The sequence below is a fragment of the Homo sapiens genome, chromosome 17 (genome assembly GCF_000001405.40).
Source record: "Homo sapiens chromosome 17, GRCh38.p14 Primary Assembly".
Lineage (NCBI taxonomy): Eukaryota > Metazoa > Chordata > Mammalia > Primates > Hominidae > Homo > Homo sapiens.
Window position 1 is genome coordinate 66,656,055 of NC_000017.11, and position 26,921 is coordinate 66,682,975.

The 26,921-nt window shown below is 45.2% G+C and overlaps 1 protein-coding gene across 11 annotated transcripts in view, besides 1 other annotated feature; it reads left to right on the plus strand.

Annotated features, from left to right (window-relative positions):
• PRKCA (protein kinase C alpha) overlaps nt 1–26,921 on the plus strand; it is a 508,131-nt gene that overhangs the window by 353,442 nt on the left and 127,768 nt on the right. The gene's annotated exons all lie outside the window — the stretch shown is intronic.
• Nucleotides 20,141–20,910: an enhancer, noted in NCBI's record as "H3K4me1 hESC enhancer chr17:64672313-64673082 (GRCh37/hg19 assembly coordinates)". NCBI's record gives its function as "activates a minimal SCP1, AML or CMV promoter by ChIP-STARR-seq in naive H9 embryonic stem cells {active_cell/tissue: H9 hESC(naive)}" and the evidence as "EXISTENCE:reporter gene assay evidence [ECO:0000049][PMID:30033119]".

Here is a 26,921-nt window from a genome sequence, read left to right on the forward strand (position 1 = left end):
CGGGGACTCCAACAGAGCTTTTCACTCTGGGTGCTTAGTCACTAGATGTGCGTGGGAGGCAGCAAGATTGGAACAAGGGGCAAAGAGTTGCCAGTGTCATTTCCTTCATGCAGCATTTGTCTTTGTTGTAAAGCACCCTGGTATCCATGCTCATGGTGACATAGTTTCTCTTTCTCCTGCTTAAGATACCCCAAGTCCCCAGATTCTTTATAGGGTCATCAGTCATCTGTCGTCTTTGACTTCAGTGACTGCTGCCAGGAGGAAGCACTCTTAAAGATAGGCTTTGAATGCTTACATCCCTGGAAGAGGAGAAGCAAATTATTTCTGGGGCCTCTTTCAAGATTACCCCATTAGCATACAGAGACATTGATATTGACTGAGCAGGTCATTCTTGTGCAGGATTTTAATTGCTTCTAATTATAGGATTATCATTTAAGCACAAGATTAATTGCTGTGAAATTATTGCAAGGAACTTTATCTTCTGGAAAGTAAATGTGTTAGCCAAGTGAGAAATCTCTTAGAAGCTTGCAAATGATGTCTTTTCAATCACTTTCCATTGAAACTTTCTTCTAATGCTTGGGGAATGAGAGAGAGATCTTGGGGGATCAGGAGGGAAGACGAAATAAATAACAGATAAATGCTCCTTTTGTTTCCCGGTTCTCCATCAAAAGGGTGGAAAACTTGAAGTGTTTGGGAATGGTTATGTTCACCAATGGAAATGTCCTAAAATAAATGCAGAAATTTTTTTCCTCTCTTGATCCATGTCATCTTCAACGGTGGGTGGGTAGGAATGGCTCAGTAGGAAGCTAGAATAGGCAGGTGCTGTCCTATGGTCCTTTTCAACACCAAGCTGCTCTGATATCTTAGCAAAAAATATGTATATATATATTTTCAGATGTGTTGTAAAGGAATCTCCCATTAACATGTATACACCTGCTCTGATTATTGGCATCAAAATGGTACAGAGAAACATCAGACTATGTGCATCTTAGCTTGTAGGCGTTTCCAATTGGAAAGATTCAGATTTCCTGAGAAAATATGAGATAAGTTAGCTCCTGAGCTTGTTCTAAAATATCCCCATTTGAATAGGGGGCCATGGCCACCCACTGGAAGCTCTGCACAGAGCATCCCCATGAGGGACTTTTTATACTGAGAATGGTAGCTGCCTTTACATGCATTTTCCTTTTTAATTAATGCAAGGTTTGTGGTTAATTAAAGATAGTCAGGGTCCCTTTTCAAACCAAAGCAGGCACTTTTTCCTAGAATAAAGAAGAGAGAATAGAAGCAAGGCAAACTTCCTATAAAAGTTTTTGCAGTGGGGGTGGTGAATTTGGGGAATGTGGCCTGAAGGAAGTGTTGTTTCATCAACTTCGACTCACTTGAGGTAGGGAATGTAATCAAAAGAGACACCTTCCTCACTGAACACCCAGCAGGGACATGGCTCTTTTTCTGGGAAATGCCGCACTGACCTCCCTTTCTCTTTGTTAAGTCACTCAGCTGGGAGTGGGGGTACAGTGCAGGAGAGACACATTTCTCTGGGATATATTGCTGCTGTCATCTTATGGCCCGCACAGGTGGAAGAACTCTCGTGGAAGAACTCTCACAGGTGAACATCTGCCCAAAAGAGCAAGTGTATGTGCAGTGAATGTTAGAAATAGCACCAGAGCCCTCCTTACTCTTTACTAATACCCAACCTCTCTGAAAGACCCTGAAGTCTGTTTCAATCCCTCCCACCCCAATATGGCAGGGACTCTGTTATCCTTAAAACTTCTGGCTTCTGAAGGATGCTAGTATATATTTGAAAAACAAAAAAATCCCAGCATACTTTACATGACCAACACTCCATAAAGAAAGAATACAGCAGGCTTGTGTTTATAAAATAATAGAAGTGACTTGCATTTAGAGGATACTATGGTGCATTAGTCTATTCTCATTCTGCTATGAAGAAATACCCGAGACTGGTAATTTCTAGAGGAAAGAGGTTTAATTGACTCACAGTTCTGCAGGGCTGGGGAGGCCTCAGGAAACTTACGATCATGGCAGAAGAAGAAGCAAACACATCCTTCTTCACGTGGCGGCAGGAAGGAGAAGAAGAATGAGAGCCCAGTAAAGGGGAAAGCCCCTTATAAAACCATCAGATCTCAGCCGGGCACAGTGGCTCATGCCTGTAATCCCAGCACTTTGGGAGGTCAAGGTGGGCAGATCACCTGAGGTCAAGAGTTCAAGACCAGCCTGGCCAACATGGTGAAACCCCCTCTCTACTAAAAATACAAGAAATTAGCTGGGCATGGTGGCAGACACCTGTAATCCCAGCTACTTGGGAGGCTGAGGCAGAGGCAGGAGAATTGCTTGAACCCAGGAGGCAGAGGTTGCAGTGAGCTGAGATGGCGCCATTGCACTCCAGCCTGGACAACAAGAGCAAAACTCTGTCTTCAAAAACAACAACAACAACAACAACAACAACAACAACAGATCTCATTATCTTCACCTCGTCCTTCCTACAACCTGTGGGGATTATGAGAACTACAATTCAAGGTGAGATTTGGGTGGGGACACAGCCAAACCATATCATATGGCGTTGACTTTGAAGTCAGGTAGACTGGATTTGAATCCCAACTATAGCACTAATTAATGTTGAATACGTATTAGGGGTTGTTACTCTATTAATGGAGTTTTACTCCAGTCACGTTAAGTCATGTAGCTCAATGGACTGAAGCATGTCACTTTATTGACAAATTAACTCTTTCAGTCCTGACTCTTTCATGGTGTAGCTATAACCACAGTGGGACTCCAGCAGCCCCAACCAAGAAAATCTAACCCCAGACCTCATTTGTTTTTTCTTCACTATGCCCACCAAGCAAGACACAGGAACACACTGTGAAATCACTTTCAAAATTGGAAGGCCTCTGTATGAGTAGAACAGTTGCATATTAAGCTGAGGATATTAACCTTAAAGATTTTAACTGGCTGTGAACCTTGACCTCATGGCTTAACCTCTCTTTGTTTCCCTCTCCTCTGCAAATTCAGATTAAGGCACTTGAACTACATGAACCCTGACGTTCCCTTCAGCTCTGGCATTTTGTTGAGAGCTGTTTCAGAGAGAGCTAATCGGTGGTGCCAATAAGTGTGCCCCTTCGTGAGGAACTGATGGTAGATTGGAGACTCTAGGGACTCTGCAAATGGATGAGGCCTGAGAGGCTGCTGGTCCGGTGATTTTCAAACAAGTTGGAACATCACATCTTGTTTGAGATGATATTCAAATGATATTTCACCAGAGTTACTCTGATTGAAGGGAAGAAAATAGGGTACTCACCTTCTTCCTCCTCCTCCACCAGCCATGAGGAGACTCTGTGGAGCAGAGTTTGAAAGTCAAGGATGTAGGCTGGGTGTAGGGCCTCACACCTGTGTCCCAGTACTTTGAGAGGCGGAAGCAGAAGATCCCTTGAGGCCAGAAGTTCAAGACCATCCTGGGCAACAGAACAAGACCTTGTCTCTATAAAGAGTAAAAATAAATATAATTTAAAAATTAAAAATAAAAATTAGCCGGGCATGGTGGCACACATGCTGCACTTTGGTCCCAACTACTCAGGAGGCTGATGTGGGAGGATTACCTGAGCCCAGGAGTTTGAGGCTGCAGTGAGCCAAGATTGCACTCCAGCCTGGGTAGCAGAGTGAGACTCCGTCACAAAAAAAAGAAGTCACTAATGTGATTGTTATCACACTGTGCTGGGGTCCGTGCACCCCATGCAGCAAAGCCAAATGCTGATGTTGGGTTAACAGCAGGAGAAACTGAGGCGTTTATTGCCAAGCAAGGAGAATTGAGCAGCTCGTGCTGATGACTTGAACTGGCAGATAGCTTACAGCTATCCATTATTTAAAGGCGGGAAGGTGGAGGTTACAGTCGAAGTCATTCAGTACCTGGGGGCCACATGTTGGTTTGACCCAAACAGGTAGGACATCCCAAAGCTGGGGAGGCGGTGTGCCACAGTCATGGCTGGATTCAAAGATCTTCTGATTTGTGATTAGTTAAGGAGGCGAAGCTTTGTCTAAGAATTAGGGATCAACAAAAAAAAAAACAATGTTAGCTCTGGCTTTTGGGTACAAAAGCATCGAAGGGAGATGGAAGAATGTAGAACAAAGAACAGCAGTCAGAGTGCTGTCTTCTGCTCCCCCCATCCAAGGGCTGTGTGCCAGTGGGTCCGTTTGGTGGGGGTCCAGTTTTCTGAAACAACTCAAGGGCATGTGTTTAGATGTTATCTTTAATTTCTACAGAAAGCAAAACATCTCCTAACTTCCTTGCTGTTGTTTTAACTTACTGATACCTTCTTCCTTGTCAAGTTGCTCATTTAATTCTCAAGGCTACCTAGGTGCCTGGAATTTTCCTTGAAGGAACTCAAGATTTTCCTTTATTTCCATGTTAGGGGGTGCTCCTGCCCGGGGACCCTCTGAAAATTCTGTCCCATGGTCCATCCCCTTCATTTTCATGCATAAAAACCACGGCTCAGGGAATATGGCTACTATGTAGGGTCTTTGGGGTTATAAAGGATAAAACCGGCCGGGCGCGATGGCTCACGCCTGTAATCCCAGCACTTTGGGAAGCCGAGGCGGGCGGATCACGAGGTCAGGAGATCAAGACCATCCTGGCTAACACGGTGAAAACCTGTCTCTACTAAAAAATATATATATATAATAACAATACAAAAAATTAGCCGGGTGTGGTGGCGGGCGCCTGTAGTCCCAGCTACTCGGGAGGCTGAGGCAGAAGAATGGCATGAACCCGGGAGGCAGAACTTGCAGTGAGCCGAGATCGCACCACTGCACTCCAGCCTGGGCAACAGAGCAAGACGCTGTCTTAAAAATAAATTAATTAATTAATTAATTAAAGGATAAAACCAACCCACTCAGGTAGAAGGGGGAATTAGCAAAAGAAATCTAGAGTATCGTGAAACGCAAGGGTGGGAATGCCTTGGAGCCATAAGAATACTGAGAACCCAAGATTCTCTTTCTGTATCTCACCTCTTCTTTCTCCATACTGCCTTCATTTGTTTCTTTTCCACAACACGTTAGACTTTCTTTGCATTGCAGAAAACATGGCCCTAGACGATTCTACAGCTTCGCCTCTTGCAGCTGCATGTCTTCTACTGTGTCAGTCACAAATCCAAAAATTCTGGGAAAGGGATTCATCGACTCAGTGTGGGTCACATGCCACCCTGGACCAATGGACTGTGACTGGAGGGCAGATATGGGGTGGGGTGGGAGGTGGGAGACATTTTCAGGAACAAGGAATAGTGAGAAGCAGACAAAACTGTAGGTAATGCAACACTGCCATGAAACGTGAGCCAGGGTTGTGCAGGAAGTGTGTTCAGGAGGAGGATGCAGCCAGGCTCCTGCCTTCTACTTCGATGCTCCTTTCCTTCAACCACCTTGCACATCCGTGAAATTACTCAAGAGGGACAGTGGCTGAGCTTATGTCCAAAAGTTGGATATGACTCATCAGTTCCTTTTGAACACGTCAACCTGCTCCTGGCCTGGCTGGTCTCCAAAAACAGCCAAGGGTAAAGAAAAAAACTTGATTGAGTGACATTTGTCCAATTCAGCCACCCAGTGCATTAATCACCCTTTTTATTTAGAAGCTGTAAAACAGCACAACAGGTTCCAGGCGTAAATGGTGTTGATGTGGAAGAGATTGAGTGATGGTGGTACCCGCAGGAAGCAAGTCCTTTGAATGGGCTCACGGGGAGATTGTGGAACAAGTGGCTCAGGAAGGTGGAGCTGTTTGATCAGGGCCTAGGAACTAGACAAGGCCCTCCAGAATGCATTTTGAGCCATTGGCCTTAAACAACCTTCCCCTGCGGCAGCTTTTTCTGCAGGCCACGTTGCTGCCTTGGCAGACCCTCACCCCTTACCCCTGGAGCTTTTCTTTCACGAGGAATTCCTACTGCGAGAATAAACAAAGGTAGTTGGCAGCATGCTAACAATGCCTCCAGGTTCTTAGCCTCTGTCCTGAGAAGAGCCAGCCAGGCAACCTGGCTTTCATTCAGCAAGGGAAGAGAAAAGCAAGGTACCTTTTATCCCTGAATCATCGCCACAAGGCCCTCTCAGGTCAGGAAACTGATGTGTCTCCTGCTTGGTTTGTAAACCATGTGGATGATACCCAGAATATCAGGTCCTCTCTCTCTCTTCCGTCCAAACGAAAGCACTTAGATGTCACATGCCCACCTTGTAAGTCCTCATGGGATTTGGGATCCTCATCCTGTGCACAGACCTTGACTCATGGGCTCTACAACATTGGCTGTCTTCCTGTTTAATTTCCCTTTCTACTGACAGTTTTGCCAATTCAGTGATGGCTTTAGCGCCATGGCTCAGCGGCACCCAAGCAGCTTGAGACATCCGTGGTTTGGGGGTCATCTTAGTTATTTCATGGAATGAAAAGTTTTACATCCAAGATACTCGGCCCCCAGTCATTTCTTTTCTGTATCAATTTAGTCTCTCTTTAGTTTTGGTGCATGTGGTTGACTTGTGGTAGTCTAAGGTGTTGACGGACTGGCCCAGAGAGAGATCTCAAAGCTAGTGAGAATGTGTCCAGGTTCTTGTTTGATTTTGTTTTGGTTTGATTTTGATTGTGGTCGAGATAAGAGGCTTTTCCAGGTGAAAATCTCGTAGGCCTGGCATCATACCTGTAATTAATGTTTATCTTCTGCTTTATACTCTCAGATTAAAGACAGCAATGGTATAACAGCAAGGCTGGAAAGAATAAAGTTTACTCCTGTTTTATCTCTCTCTCCAAACACCGTAGTGTTCCAGAGACAGATACTGATAGTCTCTTGTGCTCATGAACTCCTAGTAGCTCCTGATAAGTACATTTCTCAGAGAATCAGCTCTGAGCCCATTTGTGGGGAACAAGTGTATGGGAAAGTCGTCGATTCTGCAGGTGTTGGGAACAGTTCTGTAATGGGATAGCAGATCCCTCTTCTGCTGGCGGATGGAGGAAGGATACCCTTGCCGGTGGACAGTTGCCTCCTAATCAGGAATTATGCCTCATGCTCAGCCAGGGCCTTCCAGGCAAGGAAGCCGAGCAAAGCCCACTGGAAGACAGGGCTCCCTCGGGCACAAACAAGAACAGCTTCCTGCTCCTCTCCAGCCTCAAAGGTTCATGCGCCTTGTCCCTCAGATAAAGGTGCTAGAAAGAAGGTTGGTGTCACTGGACGTCGTCTCTTAGGGTGATTCAGCTACTTCAGGCGAGGGGTTGGGAGGAACCAATAAATATTTTTGTCTTTGTTTGCCACACTGATGTGAATGCTTATAATTTTATTAGCAGCTGCCTGGGAGCCAGGCCTGACTTAATTTAATTTAATCTCCTGGGTTATTTCAGTTCGGTTTAGTCTATTTTAAGCACAGATGAAGAGGAAATAATCAGACCGAGGGGAAAGATGAGGGAGGGGCTGGAGGGGCCATCCGCTGCCCTCGCTAGTTCCTCAGGCTTAACTTGTCTTGATATAAAGGGAATGACTTCATGGAGGCAGGTTAGCCAGACGAAGTTCTAGCTCTCACTGTGTTTTGTCTCTGGTATCATCACCTTGTTCTCTAAGAAAAGAAGCATGATATCAGCTTTGTTGGGGGAGGGAGGATGGGGGATATTAATTATGCCACTAGAAATACAAATGGAGCAATTTTCTTGTGCCAGGCAGGACTGAATAGTGACACCTTCCCCGGCCCTCCCTTTCTCCTTTTAGCAAACTCACTGATCACTGTGTTGTGGTAGCTCTTTCTCTTTGGAGTGTTTTTTGTTGTTGTTGTTTGGTTTGTTTGATTTTGGGGTTTTTTTTTTTTTGAGACAGGGTCTCACTCAGTCACCCAGGCTGGAGTTCAGTGGCGTGATCTTGACTCACTGCAACCTCTGCCTCCCAGGTTCAAGTGATTCTCGTGGCTCAGCCTCCTGAGTAGCTGGAACTACAGGCACATGCCACCACGCCCTGCTAATTTTTGTATTTTTAGTAGAGATAGGGTTTCGCCATGTTGGCCGGGCAGGTCTCGAACTCCTGGCCTCAAGTGATCCACCCGCCTCGGGCTCCCAAAGTGCCGGGTTTCTAGGTGTGAGCCACCGCGCCCAACCGTCTTTGGAGTGTTTTGATGCCCTGGGATTGGTGGTTTGGGAGGCAGGATGGCAGAGCCTCCGCTTTGAGCAGTTTCTTCTGAGTGAATATGTGGTTCAGAGGCCCACTCAGCGAAGCCCAAGGCCCAAAGACCACCAAGTCCTGTGGCCTGGGCTGCCCTGCCTGCCCTGAGCCCAGGAGCTGCGTCCCAAGGCCACCCCATCATTTCCTGCCCCCAGGGCCTGTGAGGCTGTGCATTTGGTTTAGTACCAGGAATCATCAAGAACAAGAGAAATTCATGGGCCCAGTCAGAGAACCCAAAGGTAATGAGAATGTCCAGAGGGTTTTTTTGTTTTAAACAGTGATTGAGATGATAAGAGGTATTGCCAGGTGAAAATCTCTTAGCCTTGACATCATCAAAGAAGAGAGATTCGTCATCTCATGATGAAGAGAGATTCATCTCAATTTCTTGTTTCTTTGGGGTTTTTGTTTTGCTTTGGTTTTTTTTTTTTTTTTTTTTTTTTTTGGCAATGTCTTGCTGTTTCACTCAGGCTGGAGGGCAGTGTTGCGATCATAGCTCACCGCAGCCATGATGAGCTGCCGGGCTCAAGTGATTCTTCTGCCTCAGCCCCTGTAGCTGGGACTACCACACCCAGATAATTTTTTAAATGTTTGTACAGATAGGGTCTGACCACATTACCAGGCTGGTCTCACACTCCTGGCCTCAAGCAATCTTCCCACCCCAGTCTACCAAAGTGATGGGATTACAGGTGTGAGCCACTGTGCCCGGCTCATTGCAGTTTTATATGCCAACCCTGAAAGCAGAAAATTGTATCCCCACTGAAGTGCTGGTTCCATGAACCCAGGATTTTTATGGGTCTTATTCATTGCAGAATCCCCGAACTCATGGTGCCTGGGACCCAGCATGTTCTCAGTGTGTGTCCGAATAACACTGGAGGGTTTTTTCTGGATGATACTGATAATTACAGAAGTTAAGAGTTATTAAGTGCTTATTTTGTGCCAAGCACTATGCCAAGGGTTTTACTTGTATAATCTTTTTTAATACTTAAACGGTTCCTATTGCATGAAACTCTTACCTTCATTTAAATGGAGGCATAGAGGATTTCAGGAACTTGCCAGGTGACAAGGTGGAGCTAGAACTTGAATCTAGGCAGAACATTTTTATCTGTGTCCTGAGAGTTTCCATGAGAACATGACCAAAAGGTTTTCTGGTATACGCTGAGTCACCTGCATGAGTGTTCATTCAGAACCATCCTCCCAACACCCTGCACAGTGGAGATGCCCTGAGAAGGGAGCATCGCTGGGCTTGGGGCTGAGTGTAGGAGTGGCAAGAGGGGGTCCAAGTACCTCCCATGGCTCATTAAAGTCACCTGAGTAGACCTGCTAAGCACTCACTCCTCCATGCCGGATTTCTCAAAGTGTGCTGCTGGTCTACCTGGAGTGGGGTAGAGTACTTCCCCACCCCAGGCTTCCTGAATCAGATTCTCTAAGAACAAGCGCAGAGCCTGCAAGTAAATTCTATTGTTAGTGAGTTCTCCAAGGTGGTTCTTAGGCACCTAACATTTGAGACCTGCAGCTATGGGTATTTTTGCTCCTAGCCTTGCGGTATGTTAGATTTACTTAAAAACATACAAGTGTCTATATGTTTGGGATGGTGTTGGAGGGAATTTATTAAAACTAGAGTTCTTCTTTATCCAGAAAAGCACACACATTAGGAAAGGCAATAGCATCTGAAGACAGAGGAGTGGCGTGTAGCTCATTTTGGCCTTTCCTGTTGAAGGCCCCCAGGTTCACTCTTGGGATGACCAGGCCCCTAGAGACCAATTCCAATGTAGTCCTGACTGGGCAGTCCATCAGGATGCCAGTTTATGAATTTACAGAGAACAATAAAGTTGACCATGTGACTTGATGAGAGCAATCAGTGTAGAGAAGATACCAGGCAAGGCATAATGAACCCATTTTATTGATTTGTCAAATTAAGCACCATCACATAGACTACATAGAGCAGAAATCCGCTTTGGGAGTGCCTTCTCCCCTACAGACAAACCTGAGGGGACTCAGAATGCTGCCTAGCAAACATAGAATTATAACAAGGGGATGTGATAAATGTTGGATGGCAGCAGACTAAGGTTTAACATTCATCTCAAGTTAGAGGCGGCTGCTGTGCTGCTGGGGCCAGAAGCACTTGAAGTCAAATGCTTAGATGCCGCTCCTTGGACCTGTGTCATAGGCTCTGCTGACATTTGCCTGGAGCCTCTGCTTTCTCGCTGCTCATTTGAACATATTCATACTGGACACAAGCTGGTCCTACAAGCCTAGTACCTCTCAGAACCCTCTCTCCTTCAGGGGACTTTGAGAAGCTCTGCTCTGATCCAATATTGATGAATCCAGTAGTTTGTTGATTTCCAAAGAAAGATCTTGCTTTCCTCATTTCCTACTACCCAAGGAAGGGAGAATCACCTCATTATGGCTCCAAATTTCAACAGATGTTATATAAAGGGCTATATAAGTATTCCTGTATCTTCATTCTTTGCAAAAATGCCTTCCCCAAAATCTGACTCTTTGTCTGTCAGATAAATGATATGTAGAATTTTGTATCTTACCTTCTAGGAGAAAGAGTAGTCGTAACTCTCCATGCCTCTCCAGGGAACCCTTTGAATCCCCCCCCCACACACAAATTTAGAGATTATTTCCAGGACAAAGGACTATATGAAGGACCCTTAACTATCTAGTACCCAGACTAGTAACGTAGACTTTGGTGATACCATGAAAACGAAGGCATAATCATGTGCTATGAAAATGGATTAGGAAGCAGCTTCTGTTCACAGTAGAAAGAATCTTAGAGATTTCCCTGTCCAGCCAACTCCTTTGTTTTCCAGACTGAATATAAAAACTCACTAAAGATTGCCCAAGAAAGTGAGCAGCAGGACAGAGCAAGCCGAAGGTCCCTGCCCAGTCCCTTCCCCCACCTCTGCCACCTTTTAAATCCCATCTGGAATGTCTGCGTGTTTAGTTCAGTTGGAGGTTAGGGATCTAGGAGGTAAAATGGCCACCAGGATGATGTCAAATCGAGTTAAACAGATACAGCCTTGGCCTTTAAAGAACAGACCACACTGGAGGCATATGTATTCATCCGTTCTTACACTGCTAATAAAGACATACCTGAGACTGGGTAATTTATCAAGGAAAAAGGTTTAATTGGCTCAGAGTTCAGCATGTCTAGGGATGCCTCAGGAAACTTACAATCATGGTGGAATCTTCACATGGCGGCAGCAAGGAGAAGTGCAGAGTAAAGCAGGGAAAAGCCCCTTATAAAGCCATCAGATCTTGTGAGAACTCACTCACTATCACAAGAACAGCATGGAGGTAACTGCCCCCATGACTCAGTTACCTCCCACCAGGTCCCTCCCACAACACATGGGGATTAGGGGAACTACAAGATGAGATTTGGGTGCAGACACAGGGCCAAACCACATCAAGGAACCACATTCAAAAGCCACCCACACAGGGACAAGTTAACAACATGAAAGCAAAGGTAAGAGTGTCTGCCATGAGAACTGATGGTAGGCAGCTTAGATGTGAAGTGAGTGGCCAAGAGTAATTTATTCCTCTTCCAATTAACCAGACTTTCTAGAAACAGTGGAATTCCAAGAGCTACTTAAGAAATCGAGATATCCTTGCATTTCTGGATTGAATTGCGGTAACCAGTTGGTAACCTCTGAAATGCAATCTCTCTTATGTCCCTCTGAAATGTTAAGAAGATTCAGGAAGTGACAGAAACCCACGATCAAGACTGGCAAACCACTTACTGCCACCTTGGAGAAATTTCTGTTGCCCGTTAGCCCAGTGGTCAAGTGTTAAGAAACAATTATCAGTGGTCTGGCCATACTGGATGCATGAAAAAACCAAAGTCCTGCACACCTGAAAGAAAGCAAGAAGATTTTTTGGGCCTCCCCTTTTGCTCAGATAAACAGGGTCTTCGACCAGCCAAAAAACCTGGGAGGCACTCCTTTGCTATGGAGTTTCTCTCATTTCAGAGGACCAAAATAGTGTCTTCTCTCATCTTTCCATACAGTCTACAAATAGACTGTAACTTCCAAAGGAAAAAGAAAAGGGCTGTTGTTGGTGAGTTATGTCCTGAGGGTTAGCAGCTCTGCAAGCGAAGTATAGTGGACACAGGTGTGGAGGTGAGAAGAACTTCAGGGTCAGGGGATTCTAACTTTAAACGGACTTCACAGATTCAAGATGTGTAATTACCAAGCACTGTGAATTGGAATTACCAAGCACTGTGAATTGGATATGATCCTACCTGGCTCCAGCAAAAACACACTCGTCATTGGACTAAGAGCCATGAACATCAACTTGAGTGCCCTGGAAGAGGGAAGCAAGTTCTCTAGTGTCCCAGTAGACAGTGGATAGAGCCAATGTGGCATACAAACAGTATCTTTGGGCAAATAACACATCTAGATGTACTTGTCTTTGAGGACAAGTAAAGAAAGAAAACAAACCCAAAATATGGGGCCCATTTTTAAAACATGGGAGATAAAGGGATAGTATCATGGAGAACATATTTGAATATAGATTATTGGAAGAAAAGAAATTACAGAAGAGTATTTGAGAAAACTCCATACACATTATAATAGGGTGCAGGAGGCTGGGCACAGTGGCTTACACCTGTAATCCCAGCACTCTGGGAGGCCAAGGCAAAAGGATCACTTGAGGCCAGAAGTTTGAGACCAGCCTGGGCAACATAGCAAGTTCTGCCTCTACAAAAAAATTTAAAAATTAGCCAGGCATGGTGGCACACACCTGTAGTCCCAGCTACTCAGGAGATTGAGGTGGGAGGATTGTGGAGCCCATGAGTTCAAGGCTGCAGTGAGCTATGATCTCATCACTGCACTCCAGCCTGAGTGACATAGTGAGACCCTCTCTTTAAAAAAAAAAAAATGCACAATCTCTGTAAAACAGGAACATAATGCCATTTGAACAAACAGGTTGAGAGGAAAAGCAAGCAGAATGAGATTTTTTAAAATGATAGTGGGCTATATAAAGAGACAGAAAAGATGAAAGGAAGTGGACAAGTAAATGCCAGTTTCCAGTAAGGAAATTTATAGTACATAATTAAAATCTTTGTGGTGCAACAAACAGCAGAATTGGCATTGCAGAAAATCAAATCAGCGCTGTGCAAGAATCCTGGGAAGCTCTTCTAGAATGCAGGCAAAAGGACAAAACCATGGTGATGAAAGAGAGAATAATGAAAAATGGAAGACTGGGAACAGGATATAAATTGAGAATAATAGCTTTGTCCCAAAGATAAAAGAAGAAAAAATTGAAAAAGAAGCACTAATTCAATATGATAGGACCAAATTTATGGAGCATTCAAATGAAAAGGAATGCACTCTGTTCCTACAAAATTAACCAAAAGAAGTCTGCATTTAGAAGCATTCTGGGCTGGGTGCGGTGGCTCACACCTGTAATTGCAGCACTTTGGGAGGCCGAAGTTGGGCAGATCACTTGAACTCAGGAGTTCAAGACCAGCCTGGGCAACATGGTGAAACCCCGTCTCTACTAAAAATACAAAAAATTAGCTGGGCATGGTGATGGGCGCCTGTAGTCCCAGCTACTCTGGAGGCTGAGGCACAAGAATCGCTTGAACCCAGGAGGCGGAGGTTGCAGTGAGCTGAGATTGCGCCACTGCACCCCAGCCTGGGTGACAGAGCGAGACTCTGTCTCAGAAAAGAAACATTCTGGAAAACTTTTAATTACAAAGAAAGAAAACAAATGTCTTTTCTTCAGAATATATAGGTGACCTACAGGAGAACAAAAACCAGGTTGTCACTAGACCTCTAATCGTATGCACTACTAAATTTTAAGAGATAAGAAAACATCACTTACAGAGTTTGGAAGAACAAAGTGAATTGGCCCCAAATTTCTCACCCAGCCAAGTTGCCAGTCGTGGCATATTCTCAGAGATGCAAGAGCTCAGAATATACATCACCCACACTTTCTTGAAAATTATTTAAAGGCGAGCTAAAGAGGACGGCAAGATGAAGTAAAATTAAAAGTTCAGGGATGGGAAGTCATATAAGGATAAGCAGTAAGCACTAAAATCAGTTGAACCTGTTAATGTGGAAAACAGCTATCAAAACTGTAACTCATATAAAAATTATGACAAGCATTAGAGATCCCATACTCCAGATAATTTTACAGTAACAAAAAGAGGAAGTAGGATGGGAGCTCACAGGGAGTAAGAACAGAGCATGCACAATGCTTCATACCCTTGGGGAGAGGAGTCAGAAGATGCTATCTCATTCTTTCCTTTGGTGATCGGAGAAATGTAGGATAAAAAATGTTTTGGGGTGAATCTTGAGATAGTCAGCAGTAGAATTTAAACAACATTTTAAAAATTTTGGCCGGGCATTGTGGCTCACACTTGCAATTCCATCACTTTGGGAAGCTGAGGTGGGAGGATTGCTTGAACCCAGGAATTGAAGATGGGCCTGGACATGGTGAAATCGCCATCTCTACCCAAAAAAAACACAGAAATGACCGGTGTGATGGCGTGTGTCTGTAGTCCCAGCTACTCGGGAGGCTGAGGTAGGAGGATTGCTTGAGCACAGGAGGTCAAGGCTGTAGTGAGCCATGATCACACTACTACACTCCAGCCTGGGTGGCAGAGTGAGACTCTATCTCAAAAATAAATTTAAAAAAATTATAGAAAAAATAAATGCAAAGAAAACAGAGTATAGTAAAAGAGTGAAGGCTGGGTGCAATGCCTCATGCCTGTAATCCCAGCACTTTGGGAGGCCGAGGTGGGCAGATCACAAGGTCAGGAGTTCGAGACCAGTCTGGCCAACCTAGCAAAACCCCATCTCTACTAAAAATACAAAAAATTAGCCTGGTGTGGTGGTGTGCGCCTGTAATCCCAGCTACTTGGGAGGCTGAGGTAGGAGAATGGCCTGAACCCGGGAGGCAGAGGTTGCAGTGAGCCGAGATTGCACCATTGCACACCAGCCCAGGAGACAGTGGGAGACTCATCTCAAAAAAAAAAAAAAAAAAAAAAAAGACTGAAAACAAAGCAAGTAACTAGGAGACAGAGGGACAACAACAAGTGAAGCTCCACACGACAGAGGCAGCCAAGAAGTGGGGGGGTTTAAGAATGTACTGGAATGGGGCTGCCTGTGTTTTCAGCCCCTCCCCTTGCTAGCTGGGTGACCTTGTCCTAGGTACTGCTTAATCTCTCCAAGCCTCAGCTTTCCTCGTCTATAAAATGTGGATACCAAGTAGGGTTATTGCGGAGGTTAGTTAATATGTCCAAGGTGCTGAGTACCTTATCAGGTACGTACTTGTGGGTACGAATATTGAGGATAAGGTAACAGATTAAACTGCCCACCATTTTCAGATGGGATGTTTTGCTAAAGTTCAGCGATATCCTATGAATGAGACCTACACGTAAAGTAAAATGACCCATAAACACTGAGAAAAAGGATGGGCAGTGATTTATGAGATGAAAGAAAGAAAGCAGTGGAAGTAGAATTGCCCCAAGTCAGGAAACTCTGTGTACCTGGATGGAGAAAGCCGAGTCGGGGGCTTGTACCACTAACATGCATTGGAAATCTAGAACAATTTAAAGTCTAAGCTTGTTGCACAAATTAGCAGAAAGTTGAAGAAGATAAAATACATGGCCCTGAAAACAGAGCGAACATTAACAAACAGAAGCCACACAGACCAATGGGAAAGATAGGGCTTATTCCACTAATAATGTTGAGAAGTTGTCTAAACATTTGGAGGAAAATAAATGAGATCTTCTTTCACACTGTACACCAAAATAAATTTCAAATGGTCTTAAGAGTTAAATATAAGAAAGAAACAAAATAATTAAAACTTAGGTGAATATTAAGCTAATCTCAGAAAGGGCAAGGTTTTTGTAAGCCTAAAAGAAATGGAAAAAATAAAAGGAAATGTTTGACAGATTTAACTACATAATAAGTTAAGCTTCTCTGTTTCTAGAAGAATGGTGACATGTAACACAGTTTGCAGCAACTATGACAAAAGGCTTTTATCATTTATATCTCAACAACTCTTCTAACACAGTAAGAAAACTTGTTACTACCTTCTAGAAAACTTGAATAAGGAGTTAAGTCAGGCAGAAATAAATACAAATGGGCAAATAACCATGGAAAAAAAATTTAACCTCAAAAATAAGAAAGTCAAAATTACAGTGTTATTCTTTACTTTTCTCACCACTTCTTGATATGGTTTTGGTAGGATTGTGGTAAACTTTTAGAGGAGTAATTTGGCAATGTATGCCAAGAATCTTGAATAATTTCCATCCTTTAAGCTACTTCCAAGAATGTATTCTTATTCTTCTTTGCATCAGAAAATCTGTGGCGTTCTTAAACACACAGGGTATGATCAGACTTGCACAGCATAAATAGAACAAGAAAAAAAGTATCAGAAATTTCAATGAATATTTATGCATGAAGATGATCAGTTGCTATGTTATTTGTAAAGGTGAAAAATGATAAACTTTGTAGATGCCCCCAAACAGGGAATTGATTAAATAAATTCTGATTAGCCATAAAATGAGATGTTAGACATTTAAAATGTTTTCAAAGCATACTTTGTTATAAAGGCAGGTTCTAAAACTTTATTCCTAGTGTGATGTGAATTCTATAAAAATAAATATTTCAATGTAGATAGATGTGGAAGATACTGGCCATAAACATGCTAATGTGCCAATGTTGGTTCTCCCATGCAGAAGTATAGTTGTTTTAGTTTTCTTCTTTATATTTTTATGTCTTTAAATTTCTTGTATGATGGGTGCACCCGTTACTCCTATAATAAGAAAAAAATTTTCTTAAATATCTTCCTACGTTGTTTATGCAGAATCGTTTCAGTCTCTCATAACCTGGGAAATATTTCTCTCACAACTAGGTTTCATTTTCTTTTGAAACATCAGAATTATAGAACTTTAATGTAAAATTTTATGTCCCACTAATTGTAAAAGGGAAAGTAATGAAATATTTATGATCTTTTTCCAAGGACTAAACATTGTTGTTTCTCATCTTATACCACAGTCCTCCGAATTCTCTTATGTAAGTTTTGTTCCAGTAGAATTTTGGTTGATGAGTTGCCAACCTGTGTTTTCTGGTACGTGAATGGGACAGAAATTCACTCTTATCACCAAGCAGCCAGCCTCACCAGCAAAATAGAATATTCACTAAATAGGTTCCAAATAAGAAAATGGTTAATGTCCCTCAGTCCAGGTTTGTGTACAGGGCCATATGAAGCTGTGAGGCGATGTCTGATCAGGTGTATTTTTAGTGTATCTCATTATTCTTGCCTTTGTCTCTGGTAATAAGGAAACAAATATCACAAAATTTAGGGGTCATTATTTCTAAACATGAAAGAGATCACATCAGAAATTCTGCAACATTCATAAACACAGACGGTGTCAGCAGACTTGATACAGCATAAATAGAACAAATGCAGTGAACTAGACAGCACCCAGACCCAGTTTGTACACAGAATCTCAGTCTATAATTACCCAGTCAAAAATTGTTCATCGTGGTTGATGACACCTGTGCATTTTATTTCCTGAAATCTAGAGAAGTTCCACGTGATCACTATTTAACCAAGAGCAAAAGTCCCTTTCTGACCCATTTTTCCTGTAAGTGGAGATACATCCTGTGCTCTTTTGTCTTTGTGGGTACAGAGATTCTTTCTTCAAAGCATTTAACATTTTCAAAAAAGTGTGCCACTCCTTTTGGCCTGGCTTTCTTCGCCCGTGAAAAGGCCTGGGTGGTTTTTCCTTGTCCAAGAGTCCCTCCAAATGGACGCTTTATGTACTGCAACCAAGAGCTGAGAAGTTTCCAAGCTTTCCTGTCTGTGTTAGCATTCCGGTCATTCAGCAGGAATCCAATGAGCGCAGATTTTATCTTGTCTGTCCTGTGTTGCCCTGGGGGAGTGATCCCTGGGGATGCGAGGGGGTGTGGCCCTTGCCCTCAAGGTGCTGTCAGTCTGTAGACATGGAACACCTTTGGGCTGGGCTAGGCTGGCAGGAGAGTGGAAGGGCAGAGGAAATGGGTCTTGTGCAAGGCTAAGGGCTGACAGCACTGAGATGGATGGAGGAGTGTCCCCAGCGATGGGGCAGTGTGGACCCAGAAGCACAGAGCAAGGTGGGCACAGAGATACACGTGTTCAGCAGTTACTCAGTTCACGCATGGTGCTGTGCTGGGCAGTAGGGGTTCAAAATAACTAAAAGAGACTAACCTTGTTGGTGTGGAGTGGTTCTTTTGGGTTATATAAATACTAAATGTGATAGGTTGCATGCAGTTAAATATTTAGCATATAGAACCAACCCATCAGAACCAATGCCAGCTCCTAAGTCATACCAGCATCTGCTAGGGGAATGTGGGCCAGAAGACGGAGCGTCACTGACATTTAGATAGAGGTGTTCAAGTAAATGGTAGGAAACAGATTAGAGGCCTGTTTTCCATGTTGGGAGCCTAAAAGATACAGTAACCAAGTGCCACTCAAGCTGTGGTAGAGAATATCTCAGTTCTAACTTGTTAATGGGAGAAGAATATGATTTTGTTGTTGCTTCTGGCCAAATGATTCCAGTGAATCAGTCTGATGAGTGGCAGTGCCTGGGCTGCCACCCACAACCAACTCTCACCTGTCCTGTCGACTCTTCATTGTTCATGCTTGAGAAATCAGTTACCTCCTTATGCCATGGAGGGCCTGACTGCAGTGCACGCCCACCAATGGGAAGTCGTGCCCACACCAGTGGCAAGATATGCCACCACCATCATGGACCAACCACCCAACGCCTCCTATCCAAAGGCAGATCCCAGCAAGCACTTGCTCTCTGTTGCCGGGACTTCTCCCAGCTCCAAAACTGCCTTAGTCTGATCTATTAATATATCTTTTTAACTGGGTGGCTCATAAACAACAGAAGTTTACTTCTCACAGTTATGGAGGCTGGAGACTCCAAGTTCAGGGCACAGGAAGACTCAGTGGCTAGAGAGGGCCCATTTGCCGACAGCCCCACATCCTCACACGGTGGAAGGGCAAACCAGCTCCCTTGGGCTTCTCTTATAAGGGCACTGATCCTCTCCATGGAGGCTCTGCCCTCCTGGCCTAATCACCTCCCAAAGGCCCCTCCTCTTAATGTCATCGCCTTGGGGGTTAGGATTTCAAACACAAATTGGGGGCAGGAGGCACAAACATTCAGACCACAGCACAGAGCTCTTCCCATCCCCAGCCGAAGTAGGAATGACCCAGAGGAAGGCTGCTGTCCCTTTGCACACAGGTTCTGAAAGTGCGTGGAGAGAGGACGATCCCTCGGTCCCTGCAGAACCAGGCTCTTGAAGCATATAGCAGAGGTTCTCTACCCAGGGCCTACCCTAGAATGTCATCAAAACTGCAGTGTTGTATTAAAGGGGTGCATGGCTTAGAGAGAATGGAGAATGCCCAGCCCAGAGGCCCAGAGTGTTTTAGGATGTGCCTGTTACCCAAAGTTAAAATCTGTATGCGTCAGGAGTGACACTTGGGAGCTACACTTCCCAACCCCCTCTCCTGCGGCCACCGGAGCCTGCCTGGGCCCCTTCTCCTGAAACGGCCTTCTCTGCCCACATAATAGCCCCTAGCGATGCCAGTTCTGGTTCCTCCGCGGGGTCCCACGCCAGCTGACCCAGCAGTACCTGTAACGTGTCCCACCCTTGCCAGGGTTTGTGTGCCTGCATGGTTTTAGAGGTTCCAAGTCAGAGCCCCTAAACCCCTTGCCTTATTGCTAGACAGCTTGACCGCCCCCGGAACATCACGTGGGAAGGGCGCTCGGTAAATCCTGTTCTGGAGGCAATCTGTCACTCCACCAGTTTCCCAATCAACATTTGCCGAGGAGTTCTGGCTCCCGGTGCAGAACTGACTTGTGGCGACGTGAGGGAACTGGCAGCTTCTTAGACCCAAGTTCTCCCTCGCAGCATCGTCAGAAGAGGCCCAAAGTAGAGACGCAAACAAACCCTGAGAACAGCGTGTTCTTCCCAGTAACGTGACCGGGAAAATGTGAGCCAGAGGAAACTTGAGAGCTCCGTGGTGCGGCTGAGCTGGTGGGGTGAGGGTTTTTTCCCTTTTTCTATCTGGTCCAGCCCATCGGCCACTTGAGATGCTCCTGAACTGAGTAACCAAGCTGTTCGGAGGGTACTTTCTCAGCAGGACAAGCCCTGAGCTCTGGAAAAACGCAGCTAGAATAACGAGGAAGCAGAGGGGCCTCTCCCACACCAGGCTTGCCCCGACAGGTCAGCTTGCTTGTGGCCCAGCGCTACTGCGCACATGTTCCTTTAAGATCCCTATTTCCGAGGCAGCCGTGGCATAATTAAAGAATGGCCCTGTGGATGTCCTACGGTGCTCACTGTTTGCACTTGCTTCTGGGTGGGGCTAAGGTGTGGGACCGGCCGGGGAAGCCTGAACAAGGTGGGGTTGGCCAATTGCAACAGGTCACAGCCAGATCAGATACCCTGAGGAGGAGGCTGTGAGTCATGTTTGTCCAGAAGTGCCAACTGCTGCACCAGAAAAGCCGGGAGAAAAGAAGCAAGCGTAAGGTGCACATGAGAGGTGCTGGTTTCTGAAGGTTCTGTTAAGACAGGAGAAGATGGATCATAGTTCCTGTCAGGAGACACACCCTCTCCCCCGACCCCCAGCCCAGAACCCCTTCCTTGCTTTATAGCACAAGGTGAAAGTTCAGAGGCTCAGCTCAAAGCAGAAGGAACCTAAGGGAAGTAGAGCGTCCTTTTTTGTGTCACTTTCTCCTCAAACAACTCACTGTGTTGGTGGGGTAGTGTTTGTTCTATGCTGGGGGTCAGCAAACTACGGCCCAAGGTCCAAATCTGGCCCACAGCTTATTTTTATTTATTTATTTATTTATTGAGACTGAGTCTCGCTCTGTCGCCCAGGCTGGAGCACAATGGCACAATCTCGGCTCACTGAAACCTCTGGCTCCTGGGTTGAAGCAATTCTCCTGCCTCAGACCCCTGAGTAGCTGGGACTACAGGCGCACGCTGCTACACCCGGCTAATTATTTGTATTTTAATAGAGACGAGTTTTCACCGTGTTGCCCAGGCTGGTCTCAAGCTCCTGAGCTCAGGCAGTGCACCCACCTTGGCCTCCCAAAGTGCTAAGATTACAGGCGTGAGCCACTGTGCCTGGCCTATTTTTTAAATAAAGTTTTATTGGAACACAGCTGCGTTCGTTTGTTCACATATCGTCCGTGTCTGCTTTCGCTATGCAATAGACCTGAATAGTGGCAGTAGAGACTTTGTGACCTGCAAAGCCTAAATGACTGGTGATCTGGCTCTTTTTAGAAAAGGTTTGCTATCTCCTATTCCACACTAATAGGTGAACCTGAATGCAGAGGTCACCTTGTGAGGACCACACAGAGGTTAATGCCCAGGCCCCCTGAGGCAGGACTGAGTTGCACTCCTGACTCCATCCCTTACTAAATGTTCAACCTTGAGCAGGTTTGTTAACATCTGTCTGCCTTGGTTTTGTCATCTGGAAAACGGGCATCTGAGTCATTATTTCACAGGAGTATTGTGAGTATTAAGTGAGTGGGTGTAGTAAAGCACGTGGAAACCTGTCAGTAAAGGCCTCTTTGTTAATTCAGATATAACTCACAGGTCATAATATTCACCCTTTAAAAATGTACAGTGTAGTGGTTTTCAGTATATTCACAAGATTGTGCAATATACACCACCACTGTCTAACCCAGAACATTGTCATCACTTCAAGAAGAAATTCCTCAGTAGTACTTGTAGTAGGATGAATAACCACCACCCAAAGACATCAGATCTTAATCCCTGGAATCTGTAAATGTGCCCTTAATTTGGAAAAAGGGTCTTTGCAATGTGATAAAGTTAAGCATCTTGAGGTGGGGAAATTCTTCTGGATGATCTGGATGGGCCCTAAATGTGATCACATGTGTATTCTTAGAGAGGCATAGAGAGAAATTACAGGCACAGAGAAGAAGGTGATGTGGCCACAAGCCAAGTCATGCCTGCCACCACTGGAAGGTGGAAGAGGCCTGGAGTGGATTTTCCTCTAGAGCCTCCAGAAGGAACATGGCCCTGCAGAGCCCCTGATTTTGGCCTGGTGATGTGGATGTTGGACTCTTGGCCTCCAGAACTGCAAGAGAATACATTTCTGTTGTCTTAACTGGGAAGTTTGCGTATACTTTGTTCCAGCAGCCACAGGAAACTGAGGATACCTATTGCTAAGATTACTATTGATGTCATCCTGCTAGCAGAAGGTAGGCCAGAGCTAGATTAAGTCCTGTGATCTGAACTGGGGCAGTGTGAGCTTTAGCATACTCCACTTAGTGGTGGAGAAGCCTACTTAAGCCAACAGGCATTCATCTGGCAGGCACCCCACACCTTTTCCCCACACCACTTACTTTTTTGTTTCCTCCTGCATAGGGCTAAACAGTCCTTGTTGACTGAAAAAAAAAAAAAGGACAGTCCCAGCCACCCAACAGGCTTCTCGTAGTATGCACACCACTGTCATTGGGAACATGACTGTAGGGAAATGAACACTGTTTTAGATACATTTATGCTATTTTGTGGAGTGTCGTTTTTCCTTGGTTTCAATATTTGTTTTGTGGCCTTAAAAATCTCTACATCGGTGCAGATTTACCCAGCCCATTTTCACACCCACTGCAATCTTCTTTTCCCTCTATGCTTTCCATGTGCTGTTTGTCCTAGAATTGGTAACTGCAGCAGAGAGAGAGAGAACCCACAAAGCACCATTTCCTCTTTGGTGGCATGGTTGCTGGGTACTCACTGGCTACGTGGTCACTGGGTACATCATGGTCTTCATTGATTCAGTCCCTGGCCTGTTGGTTCTTAGGCAGATGTCAGCACATTCCAGCTGTAGTGACTGGAGCACCCCAGTGTACTAAGAGGTTTATTGGTTTTAGAATTGCATCCCTGAAGCTACTACACTCACACCTTTTTTTTTTTTTTTTTTTTCTTTGAGACAGAGTCTTGCTCTGTCACCCAGGCTGGAGTGCAGTGGCGCAATCTGGGCTCACTGCAAGCTCTGCCGCCCGGGTTCACGCCATTCTCCTGCCTCAGCCTCCCGAGTAGCTGTGACTACAGGCGTCCGCCACCACACCCGGCTAATTTTTTTGTATTTTTAGTGGAGATGGGGTTTCACCGTGTTAGCCAGGATGGTCTCAATCTCCTGACCTCGTGATCCACCCGCCTTGGCCTCCCAGAGTGCTGGGATTACAGGTTGAGCCACCGTGCCCGGCCTACACTCACACCTTTAAATCAGGTGCAGCACCTTTAAACCCCTTCACTAAGTTCAAGGCACCAAAGCACAGACATAGCTGTGCAGGCTTTGCCTGCCTTCCCACCACTCCTCTAGGCACACCCAGGGCTCAATACAGCACTGCAAGATGTGTGTTCACTTTTCCCTCTGTGCTCTTTGGCCACCCATCTTTCTAGTGGAAGAGTTTCCTTTCCTCCTCGTTCTCCTGAGCAACGTTTTCCTCCATCCCCTCCTAGCTGAGGCTGACTTCACCACCTCTTCTCTGGGACTTTGTCTTGCTCAAGTCATTTCAATACATCAGCAAGCGAAAGTGGAGTTTTGTACAGTCAGAAGCTTGCCCGAGCTCAGCTACTCATTAGCTTTGTGTGGTGGACAGGTTATTTCACCTCTCTCTGCCTGAAGGCCCTATCTGCAAATGGGCTTGATAATAGCATCTTTTTACATGAAATTAATTTATGGATCTAAAGTCCTTTGAGAGAACATTCTGGATATCTAATAATTATCAAAATAATGAATTCTCTGGGTTCGAAGTCATTTTTTATTCCTCAAAGACAAGGCTCATGGGTTGTGGAAGCGTCCTTCACTCCGTGGCCTGGTGTTGAATGACATGAAGTTCTTTTGACCACAGACACTAAATCTCGCCTGTTTCCAGCACTTACCTGCCCTTCCACCAACATTTTTGCATTCACATTTCTTTTGCTGTGGGTAACTTCAAACAAAGAAGAGTTTGTTTGTTTGTTTTTTCTGCAGTGTCAGAGAACATTTTTGCTCATGCCTGGTGTGGAGTAGGATTCGAGAATTTTGTTTACTCTCGCTTTTGCTGTCAGGCAGGGGTGGAGGTGGGAGGTGTCACGGGGTCAGCACAGACTGAACAATCCTGACTTTTGCAGTAATTCTGTTTTGAGCCTTTGTCCTTGTTTTTGGCTTTTAAGTAGAAGCCAGGAGCAGGGGTGCTCTTAGAGGGGGGGAGAAAAAGTAATAAAAACAGAGAATTATTTCCTAAAGCAAAACAGATCATTTGGAGGGCCATGTTGTCCTTAAATATGGAGACACTTGACTTTTATGCATTACTAAACAGTGTCTCTGTATAGACATGAACCCTTTGATGGGCAGAGTCACTGTGGGTCAGTGCTGACAAGTCTGGTCCTCAGGCAACAGGGATACAGCTGTGTCCTCAACAAAGCTTTTGGTGTATGTGCCCGTGGATGAATCCTTCAGAACCTCTGCATGACCTTACTTTGACCCATTGCCCAGCTAGAGCACCCTCAGAGTGAAATTAAAAATCCACATTGGGGGTGGGGGAGGTGGGAAAGGGGCACACGCTGGGTAGGTTCAGCAGTGTTGCCACCGATCTAGCTTTTATGCAAGGCAGTGAGTCACAGGTGTTTATCATTCCACCCCACCATTTATGCTACATATATTCTCTGGATTAAGAAACCACCTGGAGGGACTGGGTGCAGTGGCTCAGGCCTGTAATCCGAGCACTTTGGGAGGCCAAGGTGGGTGGATCACTTGAGGTCGGGGGTTTGAGACCAGCCTGGCCAACGTGGTGAAACCCCGTCTCTACTAAAAATACTAAAATTAGCCAGGTGTGATGGTGGGTGCTTGTAGTTCCAGCTACTCAGGAGGCTGACGCAGGAGACTCACTTGAACCCGGGAGGCGGAAGTTGCAGTGAGCCAAGATTGCGCCACTGCACTCCAGCCTGGGTGACAGAGGGAGACTCCATCTCAAAAAACAGAAGGAAAGCATCTGGACCGTTCTCTGAACGGATTGCATTGATCTGTTGGATCAGTGGATCCAATGGATCAAGGATTGCATTGAGTTATTTTTTTTTAATTGCAAATTACTTTGGAACACCTAGTTGCTGACTGTTTCACTGTAGCCTAATGGGGTCTGTTACCCTGAGGAAACAGCCCTGCTTCTGGGGTCAGAGAGAACTGAATGAAAGTGGGAGTAGTGGTGGTGACGGCGAAGATGATAAAGATAGCAAATGCTTCTTTAACACTACCATTAGTAATAATAGCAAGTATATAAGACTTACTTTGTCCTGGGTTCTCTTCTAATGCTTTGCGTATATCAATTCACTTAGTTCCACAGCAACCCTATGGGTTCGGCACTGTTATTTTCCCTGTTTTACAGATGAATAAACTGCGAAGTTGGGTAATTTATCCAAAGCCATACAGCTAATAAGTGGCAGGGCAGAGATTTGGCCCTAGCTGCCCACGCTCTTGGTCCCTAAGTGATGCTGCCCCTGAGAAGTCACCCACCACCTGCAGCACCCATTCACGTGAGATGGCCTGACTTTCCCCTGTGCACCATCAGATGTGTATCCCTCACTCGGGTGCCTGCAAGCCTTTGTGAGCGCACCTTGCTTCTCTCAGGGAAAGCATAGCGGTCACTCCCGCCTGGCTTCCTGTCTGGGTCCACATCTCCACTTTTCATCAAGCAGGCTCTTGGCAAAATCACTGGCTTCATTGCCTAGCCTGCACTGTGCCATCTACTGTGGTGCACCTGTGGCTTAGATTCTCCAATCCGGCTAGGGCGGCCCAGTCCTGCGAGCTGAGGAGCAGCCCATCTGCCTGTATCCCCACTCCATTCCTGAACATTTACTTACAACTCTAAAACTCTCATGTCCTGGGTTCCCGAGCCACCTGCATCGGGGATCACTGGGTAGGTGGTTCTCCATCTTCATCATCTTATTTGAATGGGCTTTATCCAGAAATGACAGGTTACATGATCAGGAAATTATATAACCTTCTAACCCAGGCTGGTTTTTCTCAGTGCCGGGCTTGACAGCTGATAATTTCAGAGCAGCCATCTGAAGCCAAAAAAATGAGAATATAATTAGTATTCTGTATTTCTATTAAAGTTCTGGAATTACAGAACAGACTTTCTATTCTGAAATGGCCAGTGCCGTGGCACAGATGTATTTCCTCAGCAGATGTCTCCTCCTCATAAAGGCTGCAGAACTGCTAATGAGCTGCAATAGAAAAGCATTCTTCCCGCGTTCCCTGCCAGGGCCTTGGGCCCATTTGGGCAGACCTCGGGGAGCAGTCACTGCTTCTGCAGCTGAAGGAGCAAGGGAAGTGTGTTGTTTCTATACTGTTGTGTTTAGAGACTACCTGTCTTTTGAAAGTTGAGTTGGCATGATAGATCTTTTAAAAAAAAACTCATTTTCAATAGTGTGTGTATCTAAGTAGTGTGATTTTGTTGTTGTTGTTGTTGTTGTTTCCTTATCTTAATTCTGTGGGTCAAAACAATTTGGTTCTTGCAGAAAGTGAAAGACAAGAAATGAGCCGTGGGACCTGTGCTGGGTCTGTTCTTCTTGGACCCAGTATTGCTCTTAGGCTGTGGAACTTGCTCTTGCTTAGTAACTCGGAATTGGCATTCCCTCCAACTGTGCTTCCCAAATGTGGGATGGGACCACTGATGGGTGTGACTTTTGGTTGCACTTGAGGTGATTTCTGAAGGTACTG